An 18,156-nucleotide genomic window follows, 5' to 3' on the forward strand; every position below is an offset into this window, starting at 1 on the left:
TTTATTGTTTATATTATGAGTTCTACATTCATCTTTCCAGCACTCTGAAGTTATCAGCAAGTTCTCAGTCAGTTCAAGGCATTGGATTCTGCTTGATTTCTTTTTAATTCATTGTTTTTGACCCCTTTGAGAGTTTTAATAGAGAGGAGTCTGGAAGGCAGAGATCTCCACCACCTAACCGTGAGAAATTTGGAACTAAGGACTTGCACTGGTCCCCAAGTTAACAGTGGATATACTTCCTGCATTTTCTCTGTTCTTTCTTGCATTTGGGCAAAATGTATGAACGGCACAAGAGGCGCTACAGCCTCTGTGACATCTCCAAGGTGGACAGGACTGTGGACGTGGTATTGCTGAAGGTAAGGGGGGCTGCACCTCATGCATTCTGAAGCTCTGCAGGCTGTTTTAGCGCTTTGAACCCGGTAGCCATGTCCCTGGCCCTCCTGTATTGGGAGAAAGGCCGAGAAATCTGTGCACAGTGGAGGATGAGGGGTGAATGTAAGCCTCTTAAAGGAATATCTGAACAGGAAGCAATAGGTGCTTGGTAATCAGCATTGGACCACTTACTGTTGAAATGTAATTTTACTTTCATTAAAATGGATTCTTATGCTTGGGAGAACCTCATACTGTTGAAAATCACAGAGAGAGAAATTCACCTTCCAAGTTGCTCTGTTTGTCCTTCTGTCTCTGTCACCCCTCCGCCCCCAGACTCCACCCCCATCTGCCTGGTCTCTTTCTCTGTCAGTCTCTCTGCCTCTGTCTTTTAAGTATTTCTGTCTTTTGTCTGAGTCTTTTCTGTTTTTCTGCTACTGTCTCGTTCAATTCTTTAGGGGAAGGATAGGCAACATTTATTTCTTTTGGAAGGATTTCCAATAAACCTATCTATTAAGGTGGCAGAGCTGACCTTTTGGCTTGGTTTGACTGCTTTTCAGAGGTAGCTTCTGACTTTGTTGATAGCTGTATTTGTTTGTGTTCTCCGCATTAGTGATGTTTGGTGTCTAAGCAGGATGAGGGCGGAGACTCTGAATAGCTAATTGCTCACAGAAGGCATCCTTGAATCTAAAATTAGTAAGAACTCCTCCAGCCGGTAAGATGAGAGTCTGGGAATGTTGGACAGCTCAAAGAGCACTTTTTGGAAATTTAGCAATTTTCTGGCAAAGGCAGGGGAAATTGGAAGTCAACCAAGCATTTCATAGATGACAGAAAGAACCTCAGTAACTGAACTTGTGAGGGTGTATGTGGAGGTGAGGGTCATTTTAAGCAAAGTGGAAATATATTGCCTTGGTCAAGGAAATAGTGGACCTATTTTATTGATTTATCAATTCAGTTTATTACTTGGGTCTTTTCGATTTTTTTCTTTGGTCAAGTGAGGCTAAGGAATGGGCTCAGAAGGCTAGACACAAAAACCAATGAAATGCCATGTTGGGCAGGGCACTAGGTAGAGGCGTTGTGATTTGTGGTAGAGTGTTGTCATTGTCTCTCCATAATCACTGTCAGGTGGTTGACTTGCTGGGCCTCGGCTGCCAGCAGTTGGTAACTTGGTGTTTTGAAATTGTTCCAAGATATTATTCATTTTGGTTTCTCAGAAATGTGATTTTCTCTGTGAGATCACGGTGATGTTTTAAAATTTTTGTCCTCATATAATGTATTTAGGAGAATCTCATTTTTAGGATCTTTATGTCCATGATACCCTATGATTTTGCCTGCGGGTGGGGAGAAGGATAAAAAGAAAATCTGAGTATCACAAGAAATATTGAACATTTAAAATAATGCTAAAATATATAATACTTTATACTCTAGGTGGGCATGGAAAGCCCTTGTGAATGGAGCTAAATCAGTACAGGCTTATTGGCCTCAGAGTTGCTGTTTTATAGTTTTAATGAAGCACTTCCATATACGTTACTTAATTTGAGACTTGCCAGGCAGTTACTTTTTACCCCATATTCATATGAAGAGCCCGAGGGTTTTCTCGAGCATGGTAAGGGGTATGAAGAATTTGAGTGACAAGAATGTGGTTTTTTGTTTTTTTGTTTTCCCCACAAACCTACAGCTAATAAAGGTGTTTGTCTTTGTGTATTTGTACTATCCTGCCCAATAAATAATAAAAGATTTTCAGTGGAGAAAACTTCACTTCTCAGAAAATAGTCATTAGTAAATAAACACTAGGAGTCCTGAAAACACCCTGTTTCCAGTTTGAAATAAGATGGGGACGTTTGGTGTTAGTTTCTTTGCTTTGGAGATGGAGAAGACCACATCTTTGAGAACTATAAACTCAAAGAAACCTAAGTACCTATCCCATGCGAGCCACGGGTTACAGTCTTTATCCCATTATTGCTTAAAGGTAGACAATAAATAGAGAAATAAATAAGTACAAACTGTTATAATTGATTTGAAAGAAATGAGTAGGGTGCTGTGTAGGGAATAATGGGCAGAACTATTTCAGATAGAATGGTCTTTAGACAGAAGATCTTTTCGAGGTGCAGACATTTAAAAAGCTGATCTCCAGAGGATGGAAAGACACTAGCTATGCTAAGGAAGAGCTCTCTAGAAAGAATGAACAGTGAATACAGGGCCCTGAGGAAGGAAGGAATGGACAGGGCCATTGTGGTGGATGGGAGCACCTTGAGTGGAAAGTGGGGTAGCAGGATGAGAAGGCCGGAGCCAGAGGTGGGACCTGGAAGAGCAGGGCCTTAACAGCTATGGGGAGGATGCCTTACCTCTCAGTGTACGTGTTGAAAAGATTATTCTGGTAGTAATCGGTTAGCCTGCCGTTATGATAGCACAGGCAGGATAAGAGGATTTTGTGGTCTGAAGTGGGAAGAAGTGAATGGATATGAGACACAGGCATATAGTGTTTACATTCCTACTCTTTGTCTCATTTTACGTACAGGAAAACAGATTGGTGTAGTTAATAACTTTCCCAGTGTCTCACATCTCATATGTAATTGATAATAGAGTGCAGTCCCAGGTTGGACTGTTTTCAAAGTCCATGTTTTTCCTGCTATTCTAGACCTCTTTTTTGAGTCGATAAATTCCTCTTATTACATGAATATGTATATTAGCTTTTATTGATATAAGCGTATGTGTTCTTTTTCTATCTTAGACTTTTGTTCTCTTCTTTCTCAGTGCAGGAATTCCTTCTACAATACTTAGGATAGGTACACCATGTCATATAAGTTCATTTTGTCCCATGATTTTTAGCAAAGTTTTCTCACAATTCTAAAAAACCATTTGGTAGTGTTCTCCAATTATTTCTACAAAATTATTTCTAATTTCAGTATTTTCTATCAGTGTTTTAAAAACTATAGTTGGGTGCCTGTGCCACATAAATTCTCAAGCCGTCATGTGCACTTTCTCCACTTTTATCTGTGGAAATTTGCTTTTTTGTACTAAGGAGTTTGTCATTTTTATCTGTTCATTAATATTATCTAAACACTCAAAACAACGTTTGTTGGTTAAATGAATTTATCTTTGTAAGTATGGATTCATAAGCATCATGTTATATAAATTGTGTTTAACAGATGAGGTGAAATATGGCAGTAATTACAGAGTTTAAATTGTGAGCCTGTCACTTTGGTATTCCACATTTAACAACTCCAATCCCTCCCATTGACATCCTAATAATTCACTGTAGATTAGCTTCAGCATTCTCATTCTGTGTTATATACCCACGCTTTATTTGGCTGCTTCTGCATTCTGCCCTGCTTCCTTTGTTAGTTCTGCATAGTTTCACGGTAGCTTTTCTGTATCAAGACCTTCTTGTAAGATTTCCCTGAGGCTGGGTACGCTAGTGTCATCCTCACATCAGCTCTTCTGTCCCATCATCAACCCCCAATGCCTCTGAAATATTACCTCTATTCTGAACTTTTTCTAAGTAATAAAACCTAAGTTGATAGTATTCCTTGGTCACCCACCTGTCTGTTCTCCAGCGTAACATACACATACCCATTCCTGTTCCTCTGTATATGACATTCCCCCAGTTCTCCTTTTCTTGATGCATGCACTTCTGACTCTTACAGTATGTGGTTGGTAACTATGAATCATATGCTAAAAATGGGATATGAAAGAATTGTAATTGTTGGCATGGGCCCTTTGGTACCAATATGCCCATTTTCCTCAGCATCCTTCAAAAAGCTAGTGTTGACCTCGGAAGTTGGTAACTGATGGGAGCTTTCACCTAACTGAGTTCAGTAGCCAACTTTAGCTCATGGTGAGCATTACTAGAGGACAGCAGGTATCAGAAACTGACTGTAAAATTAGTGTACCAAAAGGAAGCAGGTCAGAATCAAGGATTAACTGCTGATTTGCACTGCTTTTAGCCTGGGCCATTGCTGTTTTACTAATTTTATAACTTTGGGTACCTGGAAAAATACTGCCTGTTAATAGTAATGTGATTCTTCTTGTTACTGATGATTTATAGAGAGTATTTTATAGGCAGTAATTCAGAACATTAATTAGCTGAATGGTTAAAAGATTTGCAACTGTGTTTTGTTTACATTGAATGAAAATATTTACAGAGCAGGACGATTCCCCCCCGACTCACGACACTTGGGCAGGCCACACGAGCTCATTGGCTAAGGCTGAGGAGGAATAGTCTGTCTCTAATTATGGTGTCATTTTGCAGAGAAACACACATTCCCTAAAAGTTTGCTTACTGTAAGAGATGTCCGCATTGCAACAAAACAAAAGACATAAGGAGGCTCTGGATTGAAGACAACCACATATATAGCCACTCAGATACTGTCCAATTCCCTGAAAAGACTTTGACTCAAGTGTTGGCTTCTATGTCCGGATGGTGGGTTTTTGCTTCCTTTTGTTCAGCCTTGTAGCTCAGGCAGGATCTCCTGAGACAGTTGCAGAGGAAGTAAATATGGTTAGTGGCTGGGAAGGCTGGGTGTAACCATGAGCTGTATTATTAGGATGTTCAGATACGAACAGTAACAGAAACACTGCCAGAAACAAAGACAATTCCCTCTCCACTGAAAATATGTACAGCTCTATTTCTGACTGATGGGAACACATTGTGGGTGTGGTTTAGGGATAATCACAAGGGGTCCATAGGCTTCATGTCAGAAATTTCAGAGTAACCTGGATAGGTCTGGCATTTCTTCTGAGGTAACTTCCATTATCCCATATTTCATGTGCACCATAATTCACCAGAAGTTTGGATGTTGAATACCTGCGGTGTCCATGAACTGGTTGTCATGGAGATAATATGGACAAAGGAAAACCAATGACTATGTTTTGTAGCTAAAGTGTCATAAATGTGATTAGAGCCAAAATGTATGTTTTGGTGACTTGTCTCTCTAAAAGATGTAGATGTTTAATGGTAAAATCTCTGTTTTCCACATTTCCAGCTACTTGCTTCTCTACATCACCCATTCACTTTCCTACCCATTTAGTCAGTTGCCAGTCCTATACTTTGTTCACAGCTGAAGATTCCAAAAGGGTAAATCTGAATAGAAAGATACATAATCATCTTCATTTTTCTCTTTAAACTCAAATTATTTGCATTGCCAACACTGATGATTTTTTCCTATCCCGTCTCCTAATTCTGCTGATGATCAGAATCTTTTGCCAAGCCTAGTCTCAGAACTGACTGAGAAGAGTGTTGATAGTATAAGGATCCAATTTATCTGTTAGCGTGAAAACCTCAGTCTTTGAATCACGTTTGGAAAAGAGACTAACATGAGAACAGGATCCCTTTAATGAAAAAAATGTCTGGTGGCTTTTGATTTCCTGCAGTGTATGTTTCAGATGTGGCCAGGCACAGTGGCTCACATCACGCCTGTAACCCCAGCACTTTGGGAGATTGAGACAAGAGGATCACTTGAGGCCAGGAGTTCAAGACCAGCCTGAGCATCCTAGCAAGACCCCCATCGCTTAAAAAACGAAGTTTCAGATGTCTTTCCATGTATGTACTCAGGGCCTGGCATTGTATCTGGCCTGTAGGAAGCACTCTGACAGTGTTTCAAATGGAGCCACATAGTGTGGCGTTTAAGTTGCCTTGGTTGTTTGAGTGAGAAAGAAATAGTGGAGTTGTTGATGAATAGAACCAAGACTAGAACAAATGTATCTGCCACATCAATGATTCTGAAATAGGGCAGAAGGAGGGGGGAGATGTTTTGTAATCAACTTTACATCTCTTAAGCAGCTTACTTTATAGTAAGCACAATATTCTTCACACATGAATATGATACGCTTGGTGGTATTGCTGTTTCACAGGATGTGGTTGAAAATGCTGATACATGTTTTGACATTCTTTCCACACACAGTACATATGGAGCTTGTCCTCTGGTTAATGACATTGACCATGATTGGTAGTGTCTGGCCCAGATTACTGGCTCTGACTCTAACTGTGTGGGCTGCCTGACTACTTTTCTCTAAACAAGCTTGCATATCTCTAACTGCTGCTCATTCATTTCTTAATTGTGATAAAAGGTACATACCATAAATTTTAACCATTTTTAGGTATATAGTTCAGTGGCATTAAGTACATTCACATTGTTATATAACCATCCCACCAGCTGTCTCTCCAGAACTTTTTCATATTCCCAAACTGGAATTCTTTACCTGTTAAAACACTAACTTCCCATTCTCTTTGCTTGCTAGTTTGGCAACTACCGTTCTATTTTCTGTCTCTATGAATTTGACTGCTCTAGGTACTAAGTGGAGTCATACAACATTTGTCCTTTTGTGACTGTCTTATTTCACTTAGCATAATATCTTCAAGGTTCATCCATATTATAGCATGTGTCAGAATTTCCTTTCTAAGGCAAACTAATATTCAATTGTAAGTATATACCATATTTTGTTTACCCATTCATCCATCAATTGACATTGGGCTGTTGCCCCCATTTGGCTGTTGCAAATAATGCTGTTATGAGCATTGGTATACAAATATCTGTTTGAGTTCCTGCTTGCAGTTCTTTGCATGTATACCCAGAAGTGGAATTGCTGGATCATAAGGTAATTGTATGTTTAATTTTTTTTTTTTTGAGAAACTGTCATACTGTTTTCCGCAGTGCCTGCACCATTTTACATTCCCACCAGCAATGAACAAGAATTCCAATTTCAACACATCCTCGCCAACACTTATTTTCTATCTTTTTTTGTTTAAATGATGGCTGTCCTGTTGGATATGAAGTGTTATTTCATTGTGGTTTTGATTTGCATTTCCCTAATGCACACTTACTTTTGTCCTGTTTGTGTTTGTAAGAAGCCAGCAAGTATGAGCTTTCCAAACCACCCCATCTGCGAATAGGTATTATTTACTATGAATGCCACCTTTAGTGTGTCTTTTCTTTTTGCAAGCTCTGCCTTTGCTCTCCTGCTTGCTCTTTTCGTCTGTTATCTCAAGAACAAATGAAGCTAGCGCCAGCCTTTCTCTCAAGCTTCCGAAACCTTGTGTAACCATTTGCAGGACATATTGTTATTTCAAACTCAACATGGGCAAATGGAGTACATCATCTTCTTCCCTCTAGATTTCCTATTTCTGTTCATTGTGGATCTTTGACCTGTTTTTCTCTCTTACTTCTGTGAATTTTGCCCTTTGTACTAGCTCTCTGATGTATACCTTTTATGTGCTTCCCAGTCCAGGTATACACTACCTCTAGACTAGACTAGTTCAGGCTCATCCTAATTGGCTTTTGTGTCTCAGATACTGTGTGTTTCCTTCCTCCCTACTCTCCCATTGTATCTGTACACATCTAGAGTTATTGGCCAAGTATAGTACTGATCTTTTTACTACCTTTCTTATATGATTGACAGGGTCCACCCTTGTTAGAGAACAAAGCCTAGATTCATTGTAGCTGTATCTCCTGTTGTTCTTCCTTGCTCAGTTTACATTTCTGGATACTGTTGGGCTTTTTGTGTTCCTGAAAAACATCAAAAGCAAAGGTCTTTAGCCTGGGTTATGAGGTTATGCAAAGAACCGCCGATTGTGACGTAGTGTGCACGTTCCTGGTGAGGGTTCCATGGCTTCCTGCAGATTCTTGAAGGAGTCTGTGACGTGAAAGGCTATGAAGTCCAGCTCTGGAGTGTCCTAACTGCTTTGCTCATGCTTTTTTCGTATAGCTAGAATTCCCTGCCTTACCATCTTTCTCTTGCAAGCATATTGTCCGCTTTTAAAGCCTACCTCATATACCAACGCTTTTGTTGAGCTTTTCCCAGATTCTTGAGCAGGAATTATTTTCATGCTGGGGACTTTCTTTTGTGGATTTTAGCTATTTGTGTACCTATTGTATTACACAAATTAATCAGTGTTTCCAAACTTATAGGCCATGGTTTGTGGAGCTGTCTCACTGAATCTGATAATCCGTAGACTCATAAGGATGTATGTATATATCTATCATCTTGGGATGTCAAGCCTTCGTAACCCAAGGCATTTTGTGTTAAAATTATACTTATAAACCGTGGTAGCTACTATGCCAATTGTAATCAGAATCATCTTTTTCACCTTCTTGTCTATTGCTGTACCTTAACCTGGTTTCTTGCCTAAAGTGAGCACTCCATAAGTGCTGCTGGCTAGTTGTGTGGATGAGTGTCAGTGTGTAGCTGACAGCAAGATAGTGTTAAGAAGCCGCCTTCTGCTAGATTTCCCAATCCTGGTGCAGAAGCCCCGAATTATCGGAAATGTTACTGTTCTTCAGTATGGGTTTTACTTTTAAATGTTTACGAATGAAGCCTAATTCAGAAGAGAGAACCTGCCCGAAAGTGTGCATCATCTCAGATCTGCTTGAGCTTCTTGTGTTCTTAGAGACAGTGAGCCTCCTCAGGACATCATTGTTAATTAACTGCTGGTGATTAAAACCACAGGATTCTAGTAATTGACAGAGCCAACAACAAACAAACAGCAGTTTTTTTTTCAGTTACAGCATTTTGATATTTAAAAAAATTGGTATCCAGTTTCATATTTTACTTGTGTCATTTCAGTAATGCCTTATTTTCTAAATATTTTTGTCTAAATCAACAATGACTGTTTTCCAATAAATCTTTCTTGAAGATGTGAAATACACTTTGCCAAACTTATTCAATTTAATACTAAAAAATTGTAAACAATTATTATTGAATTCTAAGACAAATATAAGAATAAGAAGAGATGGCACAGTGGCTCGCGGCTGCAATCCTAATGCTTTGGGAAGCCGAGGTGGGAGGATTGCTTGAGGCTTGGAGTTCAAGACCAGCCTAAGCAACATTGTGAGACCCCTGCCTCTCCAAAAAAATTTTTAAAAAACAACTGGGCATGGTGGCACATGCCTGTAGTCCTAGCTACCCAGGAGGCTGAGACAGGAAGATTGCTTGAGCCCAGGAGTTTGAGGCTGCAGTGAGGTATGATTGCACCACTGTACTCCAGCCTGGGGTGACAGCTTCTTCTTCTGAAAAGGAAGGAAGTGAGGGAAGGAGGGAAAATGAAAGGAGAAAGAAGAAAAAGGGAAAAGAACAAGAAGAGACTCTTGAGGGGGAAATTTGTGGTGGACTGGAAGTGAGGAAACCTTGGGTCCTCTGTTTTGAAATATTTATTACTTTCATCAAATTACTTTGCCTCCTTTGGCCTCAGGTTTTTTATGGGTCTAGTAAAGGGAAGCAGGGCTGTAATCCTCAGGGAGTCTCTCCACTTTTTTCTTCAGAATCACTGAGGATAATGAATTCAAAGATTATTCATTAGGCATCCACCATGAACCATGCACTTACTACTCATTGGGGAGATCCGTTAAATAGATGCGATTTTGTTCTCTGGAAGCTTATGGTCTTTTGAGCAGATAAAGCTATAAATACAATATAGTTCATCTACATGTATGCTCTCCACAAATCACCAAGCCTCACTGAGTGTGTTTTCTTCCTCTCTAAAATGGCAACATGCCTTCTCAGGGGTATGTAAAAAGGTCAAATCTATGGGATGGTACTTTAAAGTATCATGAATCTAGAAATATAATGAGTTCCTTTACAGCCTTTTTTTTTTTTTTTTTTTTTTTTTTTTTTTTTGAGACAGTGTCTGGCTGTGTCACCCAGGCTGGAGTGCAGCAGTGCTGTCTTGGCTCACTGAAACCTCCACCTCCCGGGCTCAAGCCAGCCTCCCACCTCAGCCTCCTGAGTAGCTGGGATTACAGGCGCCCACAACCATGTCCAGCTAATTTTTGTATTTTTTGTGGAGACAGGGTTTTTCCATGTTGCCCAGGCTGGTCTTGAACTCCTGAGCTCACAGTTGCCAAATTCAGTAACTTCTTTTTGTTTTGTATCTGCTTTGACTTCTCTGCAGCAGCTTCTGTGAAGCTCTAATCTCCCGAGTTCTCTGGCTCTTAGACACTGGTGTGTGCCATCTCTGACTTCTCTATTCTCTGTTTTTTAACACATACACACACACACACACACACACACACACACACACACACACACATCATGAACTAAGATGGAAAATTGTAACACACACACACACACACACACACACACACACAAACACAATGAACTAAGATGGAAAATTGTAATTCCGGCCCAGTGTCTCTGTATATATAACATTTGTGACCCAACCAGAAATATACGTAGCACGAAAATACTCTATGCAATGTGGTGTTCCATTCACTGTCATTCCCATCTCTATTAATTACAGCATGCATTGTCCAAGTGAACACACATTTCATTGTCTACTATGCAAGATGCTATGGTAGGCTTATTGACCGACCTAACATTTTCACATCTCACATGTAAGCTGTGAGTTCTTTGAGGACAAGCTATTTTACTACTTCTGCTTTTAAGGCTTGGTTGGTACAGTGTTTATTATATAGAAGATACTTAACACAGTTTTTAAAAAATAGAAGGATAGAAACATCCCAGCATGGCGAGCCTTACATCTTCACACAATCTTCCTTTTCTAGAAAGTAACAATAGATTTTAAAATAGATTTTTCCATTAAAAAAAAGAAACTCAGGATGAGCACCCATGTCACACCTACTGTGGTAGCTACAATAAGAAAGATAACAAAAATAGGTGTTGACAAGAATGTAGAAAAATTGTTGAATGGTACAGCCACTTTGGAAAACAGTCTGACATCTCCTTAAAGTATTAAACATAAAGTTACCATGTATGTAACCCAGCAGTTCCAGTCCTAGGCGTATGCCCAGGAGAATTGAAAACATGTCCACACAAAAACTCTGAATGTTCATAGCAGCATCATTCGTCACAGTCAGAAAGTGAAAAAAAAAACAACCACCCAGATTTCCATCAACTGATGCATATAGATAAGTAAAATGTGGATATATCCATACAGTAGAATATTATTTGGAAATAAAAGAAGTAAAGTACTGTTACATGCTTCAACATGGGTGAACCTCAAAAACATTTTGCTAAGTGAAAGAACCCAGCATGAAAGACCAAATAATGTGTGACTCTATTTGTATGAAATGTCCTGAGTAAGCAAATTTGTAGAGATAGAAATACATTCGTGGCTCTCTAGGCACTAGGGGACAGGGGATGGGGGTGAGGCATGACTACTAATGGATATAGGGTTTCTTTTTGTCAAGATAAAAATGTTTAAAATTACATAGTGGTGATGGTTACACAACTCTATGAATATACTAGTACTATTGAATTATATACGTTAAATGGGCCAGTTTTCTAGTATGTGAATTACATCTCAATAAGGATGTTAAAATGCAAAATAACACACACACACTTTCTCTCTCTCTCTCTCTCTCACACACACACACACACACACACACACACACACACACACACACACACACACTAAATGCAATGTGGTGATTTGGATGGGATCCTGGAACAGAAAGAGAACACTAATGGGAAAACAAGTGAAATCCAAATAAAGTCCGGAGTTTACTTAATAGTAATGTACCAGTGTTGGTTTCTTAGTATTGACAACTGTGTTATGGTTATGTAAGATGTTAACGTTGGAGAAACCAGTGAGGAAGGGAGTGGGGATAAACGGGAACTTTCTGTGCTGTCTTTGCAAACTAAAGTTATTTCTACTTTTTATGTATACTATTTTTTGTATCAGCCTGAAGTTGTTACAAAATAAGTTTATCAAGATAAATTTTTTAAAAATAAAAGAAATATATAACCATTGAAGAAAATTTGGGAAACTACAGGAAAGTTAAAAGGAATATAAGTTGTCTCTTTGTGGTCGTTCAGACATATCCACCCAATTGAAAATAGATTAGGAGATTGCACCACAGAAGTGTAACATGTCAAGAGATTTTTGGCTGCCACTGTGTGTAAAATTTTTAATACTATATAATATATACTAATTGTTAATGTGGTGGATCGGAAATTGTTCCGTACTTGCAAGCTGGCAAGTTAACTTACATCCTGACACAGTTTCATGGGTGCTGGCTGAAGTCATGGCATTCTAGGGTCAGAGACAGGTAAATGTATTACTCATTGCATAGCCAGCAGCATCAGCATCACCTTCTCGTTGGTTCTCCTTGCTTCCTAAGCCCTATGCAGGCAACACGAAGGGGTCCAGGTTGATGCTGTGTCACAGCTGAGAAATCTAAACCTGAAGAAATCTGAATTTTTATACAGTGGACAGTAAGCCTGTGTGACCTTTGCCCTTGACTGAGACATTATCTTTATAATACTGGACAGAAACAAACCTGCCCTTTGCTTCGGAAGGAAACAGTATTTTTATCTTCTAAGGGTGTTTGATATACAAACAGTCTTGAAAAGATAGTCTAGAATAAAAGGACCATCAGGGCTTTTGCTGATAAAACCTGCAGAAATGCAAGAGGGACATGGAGAATTGTTTTCCAACATGATTATGTTCTCATCACTGTTATTATGTTCTCATCACTGTTACTCAGAAATTAGCATATTTACTTAAAGATATGTAACTTTAATTTTGTTCTAGTAGTATGTGTTTATTGTATATAATTTTGTAAAATATGAAACTCACTTTATGTAACACATGTACCTAAAATGACAGGAAAAGTATAGAGAGTCTTAGTTGCTTGCATATTCAAGGCAAATAATGTTCACTTTACTCATTGGCTGTGGAATGACATGTGGTATTGAGAAGGTAATGAAAAGTATTCTAAGAAATAAAATTTTTTTTTTTTTGAGGCGGAATCTTGCTCTGTCGCTAGGCTGGAGTGCTGTGGCGTGATCTTGGCTCACTGCAACCTCTGACTCCATGGTTCAAGCGATTCTCCTGTCTCAGCCTCCCAAGTAGCTGGGACTACAGGCATGTGCCACCACGCCCAGATAATTTTTGTATTTTTTCAGTAGAGACAGGGTTTCACTATGTTGGCCAGGATGATCTCGAACTCCTAACCTTGTGATCCGCCTGCCTCGGCCTCCCAAAGTGCTGGGATTACAGGCATGTGCCACCGCGCCCGGCAGAAATAGAATTTTAATAGGGTTTTCTAAACTGTTGGCCCCTTGTTGAAGGTCAAGGTAAGAGACAGTAATATGGTAATTCGTAGTAGTTCATTTCCACATTCTTTACTTATCACTAAAGAATCATCTGAGCTCTTTTATTTCTGTAAACTAAACTTGTTGCTGTATTCATGCAGCCTCTTCTTATTACAGGAATAATAGGGGCGGGGGGGGAGTAATTTTTTCCCTTCCAGCTTAAAAGTGTAGTTTTGTATTGCAGTACAGTGGTTCTATTAGCAGAGAATCTTATTTCACAGTAAGTAAAATTTGGCTCATTGCAAATGAAATGCCATTTGAAATTAAGAGAAAATTCTCTGAATGACTTTTTTTTTCTTTTTTTTTTTTTTTTTTTTTTTTTTGAGACGGAGTCTCTCTTTGTCACCCAGGCTGGAGTGCAGTGGCACAATCTCGGCTTACTGCAAGCTGAGCCTCCCGGGTTCACGCCATTCTCCTGCCTCAGCCTCCCGAGTAGCTGGGACTACAGGCGCCCGCCACCACGCCTGGCTAATGTTTTTGTATTTTTAGTAGAGACGGGGTTTCACTGTGTTAGCCAGGATGGTCTCGATCTCCTGACCTCGTGATCTGCCCACCTCGGCCTCCCAAAGTGCTGGGATTACAGGTATGAGCCACTGCACCCGGCCTTTTTTTTTTAAAAAGGAAAATGTGTTGTTTCAATTCTTTGAAAGATGTGGATAGGGTGTTGGTAAAGTTACAAAATTTGTGGTTACTTCCTTATTGTGTATACCTTAAAGTACCTTTCAGAAAGGATATTTTTAAATATGTGTAATCCCAGGGCACCTGCTGAAGATTCAGTTCCATTCAGGATTACTTTTAAATTTTTGGCATCATTTTGTAACACACCAGGAACTGAAACCTTGATGGCCCCTGATTCTTGCTGTTTTTGCTCTCTGTAATAGTAAAATAGCTGAACAGAGCAAATGATAAAGTGTTTTGTTTCATGTGGTTCTAGTTTGCCTGGTTATTTGCAAGCAGTTTAATTCCTTTCATTCATTTTATTGTCAGTTATAATTTGACAAAATGTCTCTAGCTTTCTGCCTTATGCCACTTAGCATATACAGTAAAACTGTTGATCTTTGTCAGCAGAAGAGTTTAAGATTCTCACTAAAGTGATCAGAAATATATTTTAGAGGTTATTGAATAAAATCAAGGCTTCTGTCTTTGAGCATACAAATATTCACAACTACTTAGTAGTTTGTTTAGATATTTCTGCTCATATTATTTAGAATTACATCTAAGTATGTCAGTTTTAATGATTAAAGGGTTATAATGTTAAGGTGTGTGGGAATTGTGAAGACTAAAATTTATTTTATATTTTATACTTCTGTTTTTGAGAATGTATTTGTTTTCAGCTTTATTCTGGTATAAATTTCCATACAACAAAATTAACCAATATAAGTTTATAGTTTGGTGAGCCTTGACAAATATTTAAATTGTGTAATCACTACCGCATCATAATAGGAACACTTCTGTCAGCTCAGAAGTTCTGTTCTGTCTCCCTGTAGTCAGTCTTCTCCTTCATTCTCTGCTGATCACTAATGTTTTCTTGCTACTGTAGGCTTGCCTTTTCTAGATATTGCATGGATAGAACCATACAATACATAGTCTTTTGAGTCTGGCTTTTTTTTTTTTTTAACTTACCGTAATACTCTTGAGATTCATCCATGTTGTTTGTATCAGCAGTTCATTTCTTCTTTCTATGAATCTATAACATTGTATGGATATATTATAATTTGCTTATCCATTTACCATTTGATGGCAATCTGGACTGTTTCTAGTTTGGAGCTCTCATGAATTAAAGCGCTTTAAAAATTCCAGTGCAAGTCTTTGTGTGACAGTAGGTTTTGATTCTTCTTCGGTAAATGAATGGAATGCTATGTTGTATGTAAGTATATGTTTGACATTATGAAAAACTGCTAAACTGCTTTCCCAAAATGGCTGTACTATTTTGCTTTCTTTCAGCAACAGTACTGTGTTCTAGTTGCTCCACATCTTTGCCAACATTTGGTATTATCAGTCTCAAATTTTGACTCTTGTAATGGATGTCTGCTGCTATGTCCTTGTGATTTTAATTTACATTTTCCTGTGGATTAATGATGTTGGGTATCTTTTTTTTGCTTATCTGCCTTTCGTATATCTTTTTAAATAAAATGTTTATTCAAATCTTTTACCCATTTAAAAAATCATGTTGCTTTGTTACTGCATTGTAAGAGTTTCTTTTATTTTTAAATATTCCGGGTAGGAGTTCTTAGCAGATAATTGTTTTATAAATATTTTCCTTCAGTTTTTAGTTTACCTTTTTGTTTTCCTAACAGTGGCTTTTGAGGAGTAAAAGTTTTTAAGGTTGACATAGATTTATCCTTTTTTTTCATGTTTTAAAAAATGTACTATTTAAGAAATCTTTGTGTAACCGAAGTTCCCATAAAAGTGTTTCCCTCTGTCTTCTTTAGGAGTTTTATAGTTTTAGGTTGAACATTTAGATATATAAAGTATTCTGAGTTCATTTTTATAGGTGGTAAGGTTTGGGGTAAGATTTTAGATCTTGGGGAGTTGTATTTGTTTACATATTAGTATCCAGTCGTTATAGCATCATTTGTTCATAAGACTATTTGTTCCTCATTAAAATATCTTGGCATCTTTGTCAGGAATCAATGGGCCATATCTGTGAAGGTCTGTTTGTGGATTCTCTCTTCTCTGCCATTGATCTATATGTCTGCTGTTTAATATCACCCCGGTTTGGTTAGTGCAGCTTTTATAGTATGTCTTGAAATCATGTAGTGATCAATTTGAGGACAATTAACAACTGTATTGAGTCTTCTGATCTCATGGAATCTCTGTATTTATTTAAGTCTGCATTAATTTTTCTCAACAATGTTTTATAAAGGTTTCAGAGTATGAGTCTTACTCATATTTTCTTAAAATTATCCCTAATTATTTTATATTTATTGAGGCTTTTGTAAATGGTATTGCTTTTACTTTTAATTTCAATTTCTAATTGCTCATTGCTAGTATGTTGACTTTGTGTCTGGCAACCTTGCTTTTATTAATACATTATTTATTCCAGTATTTTTATAGATTCCTTAGGATTTTCTACATAGGCAGTCACGCCATTTGTGAATAAACCAAGTTTTACTTCTTCCTTTCCAATGGTATGCGTTTTCTTTCTTTTTCTGCTTTACTGCACTGGATAGGACCTCCAGAATATTGTTGAATAAAAGTGATGAGAATGGACATCTTTGGTTACTGATCTCAGAATGAAAGCATTTAGTCTTTCACCAATAAATATAATGTTAACCGTAGGTTTTTTATAGATGCCTTTGTCAGGTTGAGTAATTTCCTTTCTGTTCCTAGTGTTCTGAGAGTTTTTATCATGAATAGATGTTGAATTTTGCTGATTTTTTTTTTTTCCTTTGAGGCAGATTCTTGCTTTGTTGTCCAGGCTGGTGTTCAGTGGCACAATCACGGCTCGCTGCAACCTCTGCCTCCTGGGTTCAAGTGATTCTCATGCCTCAGGCTCCCTAGTAGCTGGGATTACAGAGACCCACCACCACACCTGGCTGATTTTTGTATTTTCAGTAGAGATGTGGTTTCACCATGTTGGCCAGGCTGATCTTGAACTCCTGACCTGAAGTGATCTGCCTGCCTTGGCTTCCCAAAGTGCTGGGATTACAGGCATGAGCCGCCGCTCCCGGCCCCAAATTCTTTTCATCTAATGATGATCATTAGTTCGTGAGTTTTTTGGTCTTTTAATAAACTGGTTTTTCAAGTGCTAAACCAACCTTAAATTCCTGGGATGGACCCATTTGCTCATGATATATATTGCTGGATTCCATTAACCTAAAATTTTGTTAAGGTTTTTTGCATCTGTATTCCTGAGGAATATTGATCTATAGTTTTCTTATATCTGTCTGGTTTTGATTTCAGAGTAATGCTAGGCTCATAAAATGAGCTGCATTGTAAATACTTTTCTTCTGTTTTCTGTAAGAGCTTGTGTAGAGTTGACATTTCTTTCTTAAATGTTTGGTAGCATTCACCACTGAAGTCATCTAGGCCTGAAGTTTTCCTTGTAATAAAGTTTTAAACTATGGACTCAATTGCTTTAATAGAATAAGGCTATTTAGATTATCTATGTTTTCTTGAGTGAATTTTGGTAGTTTGCATAGTGTCATGGAATGCTATTTCATCCAACTTGATGAATTTATTGCAGTAATGTTCGTAATATTTCTTTATTTTTTCAATATCTATAGGATCTGTAATGGTGTCACTCTGTAATTCCTGATTCCTGTCATTTGTCGCTTTTCTTTTTTGATTAGCCTCGCCAGAGTTGTATTGATATTATTGACCCTTTTAAGGAACCAGCTTTTGGTTTCATTGATTTTATTGTTCTTCTGTATTCTATTTTATTGATTTTTGTTCTTTATTTTCTTTATCCTGCTTGCTTTGGGTTAATTTCCTCCTCTTTTTCTAGTTTCATAAGGTAGAAGTTTAGATCACTGATTTGAAACCTTATGTTCTAATATAGGCATGTAATGTTACAAATATTGCTGTTAGCACTGCTTTAGTTATATCCACACATTTTTATATGTGGTGTTTTAATTTTTATTCAATTTAAAATATTTTCTTCTTTTTCTTAATATTTCTACTTTCCCTGGGTTATTTAGAAGTTTTTTTTTTTTTTTTTTTTAATCTCTGTCACCCAGGCTGGAGTGCAGTGGCGCGATCTTCACTCACTGCAAGCTTTGCCTCCCGGGT

General features: G+C 38.1%; 1 protein-coding gene across 3 annotated transcripts in view, besides 2 other annotated features; it reads left to right on the forward strand.

Moving 5' to 3' along the window:
- The window catches only part of AKAP13 (A-kinase anchoring protein 13), a 368,756-nt gene that overhangs the window by 239,214 nt on the left and 111,386 nt on the right, over positions 1-18,156 (forward strand). Inside the window, exon 1 of one of the 3 annotated variants that reach the window (NM_001270546.1) lies at positions 134-356. The exons of the other annotated variants lie outside the window; for them this stretch is intronic. Coding sequence (NP_001257475.1) covers positions 276-356 — 81 coding nt within the window. The 5' untranslated portion in view covers positions 134-275. Of the gene's footprint in view, positions 1-133; positions 357-18,156 lie in introns of those variants that run through there. 3 annotated transcript variants of the gene reach the window in all.
- Positions 8,495-9,036: an enhancer, noted in NCBI's record as "NANOG hESC enhancer chr15:86171542-86172083 (GRCh37/hg19 assembly coordinates)". NCBI's record gives its function as "activates a minimal SCP1, AML or CMV promoter by ChIP-STARR-seq in naive H9 embryonic stem cells {active_cell/tissue: H9 hESC(naive)}" and the evidence as "EXISTENCE:reporter gene assay evidence [ECO:0000049][PMID:30033119]".
- Positions 9,723-9,892: an enhancer, noted in NCBI's record as "experimental_42264 CRE fragment used in MPRA reporter constructs". NCBI's record gives its function as "activates a minimal promoter by MPRAs in K562 erythroleukemia cells, with activity observed for both the introgressed and non-introgressed 15:86172855 variant alleles {active_cell/tissue: K562}" and the evidence as "EXISTENCE:reporter gene assay evidence [ECO:0000049][PMID:34662402]".

Source organism: Homo sapiens, chromosome 15 (genome assembly GCF_000001405.40).
Source record: "Homo sapiens chromosome 15, GRCh38.p14 Primary Assembly".
Lineage (NCBI taxonomy): Eukaryota > Metazoa > Chordata > Mammalia > Primates > Hominidae > Homo > Homo sapiens.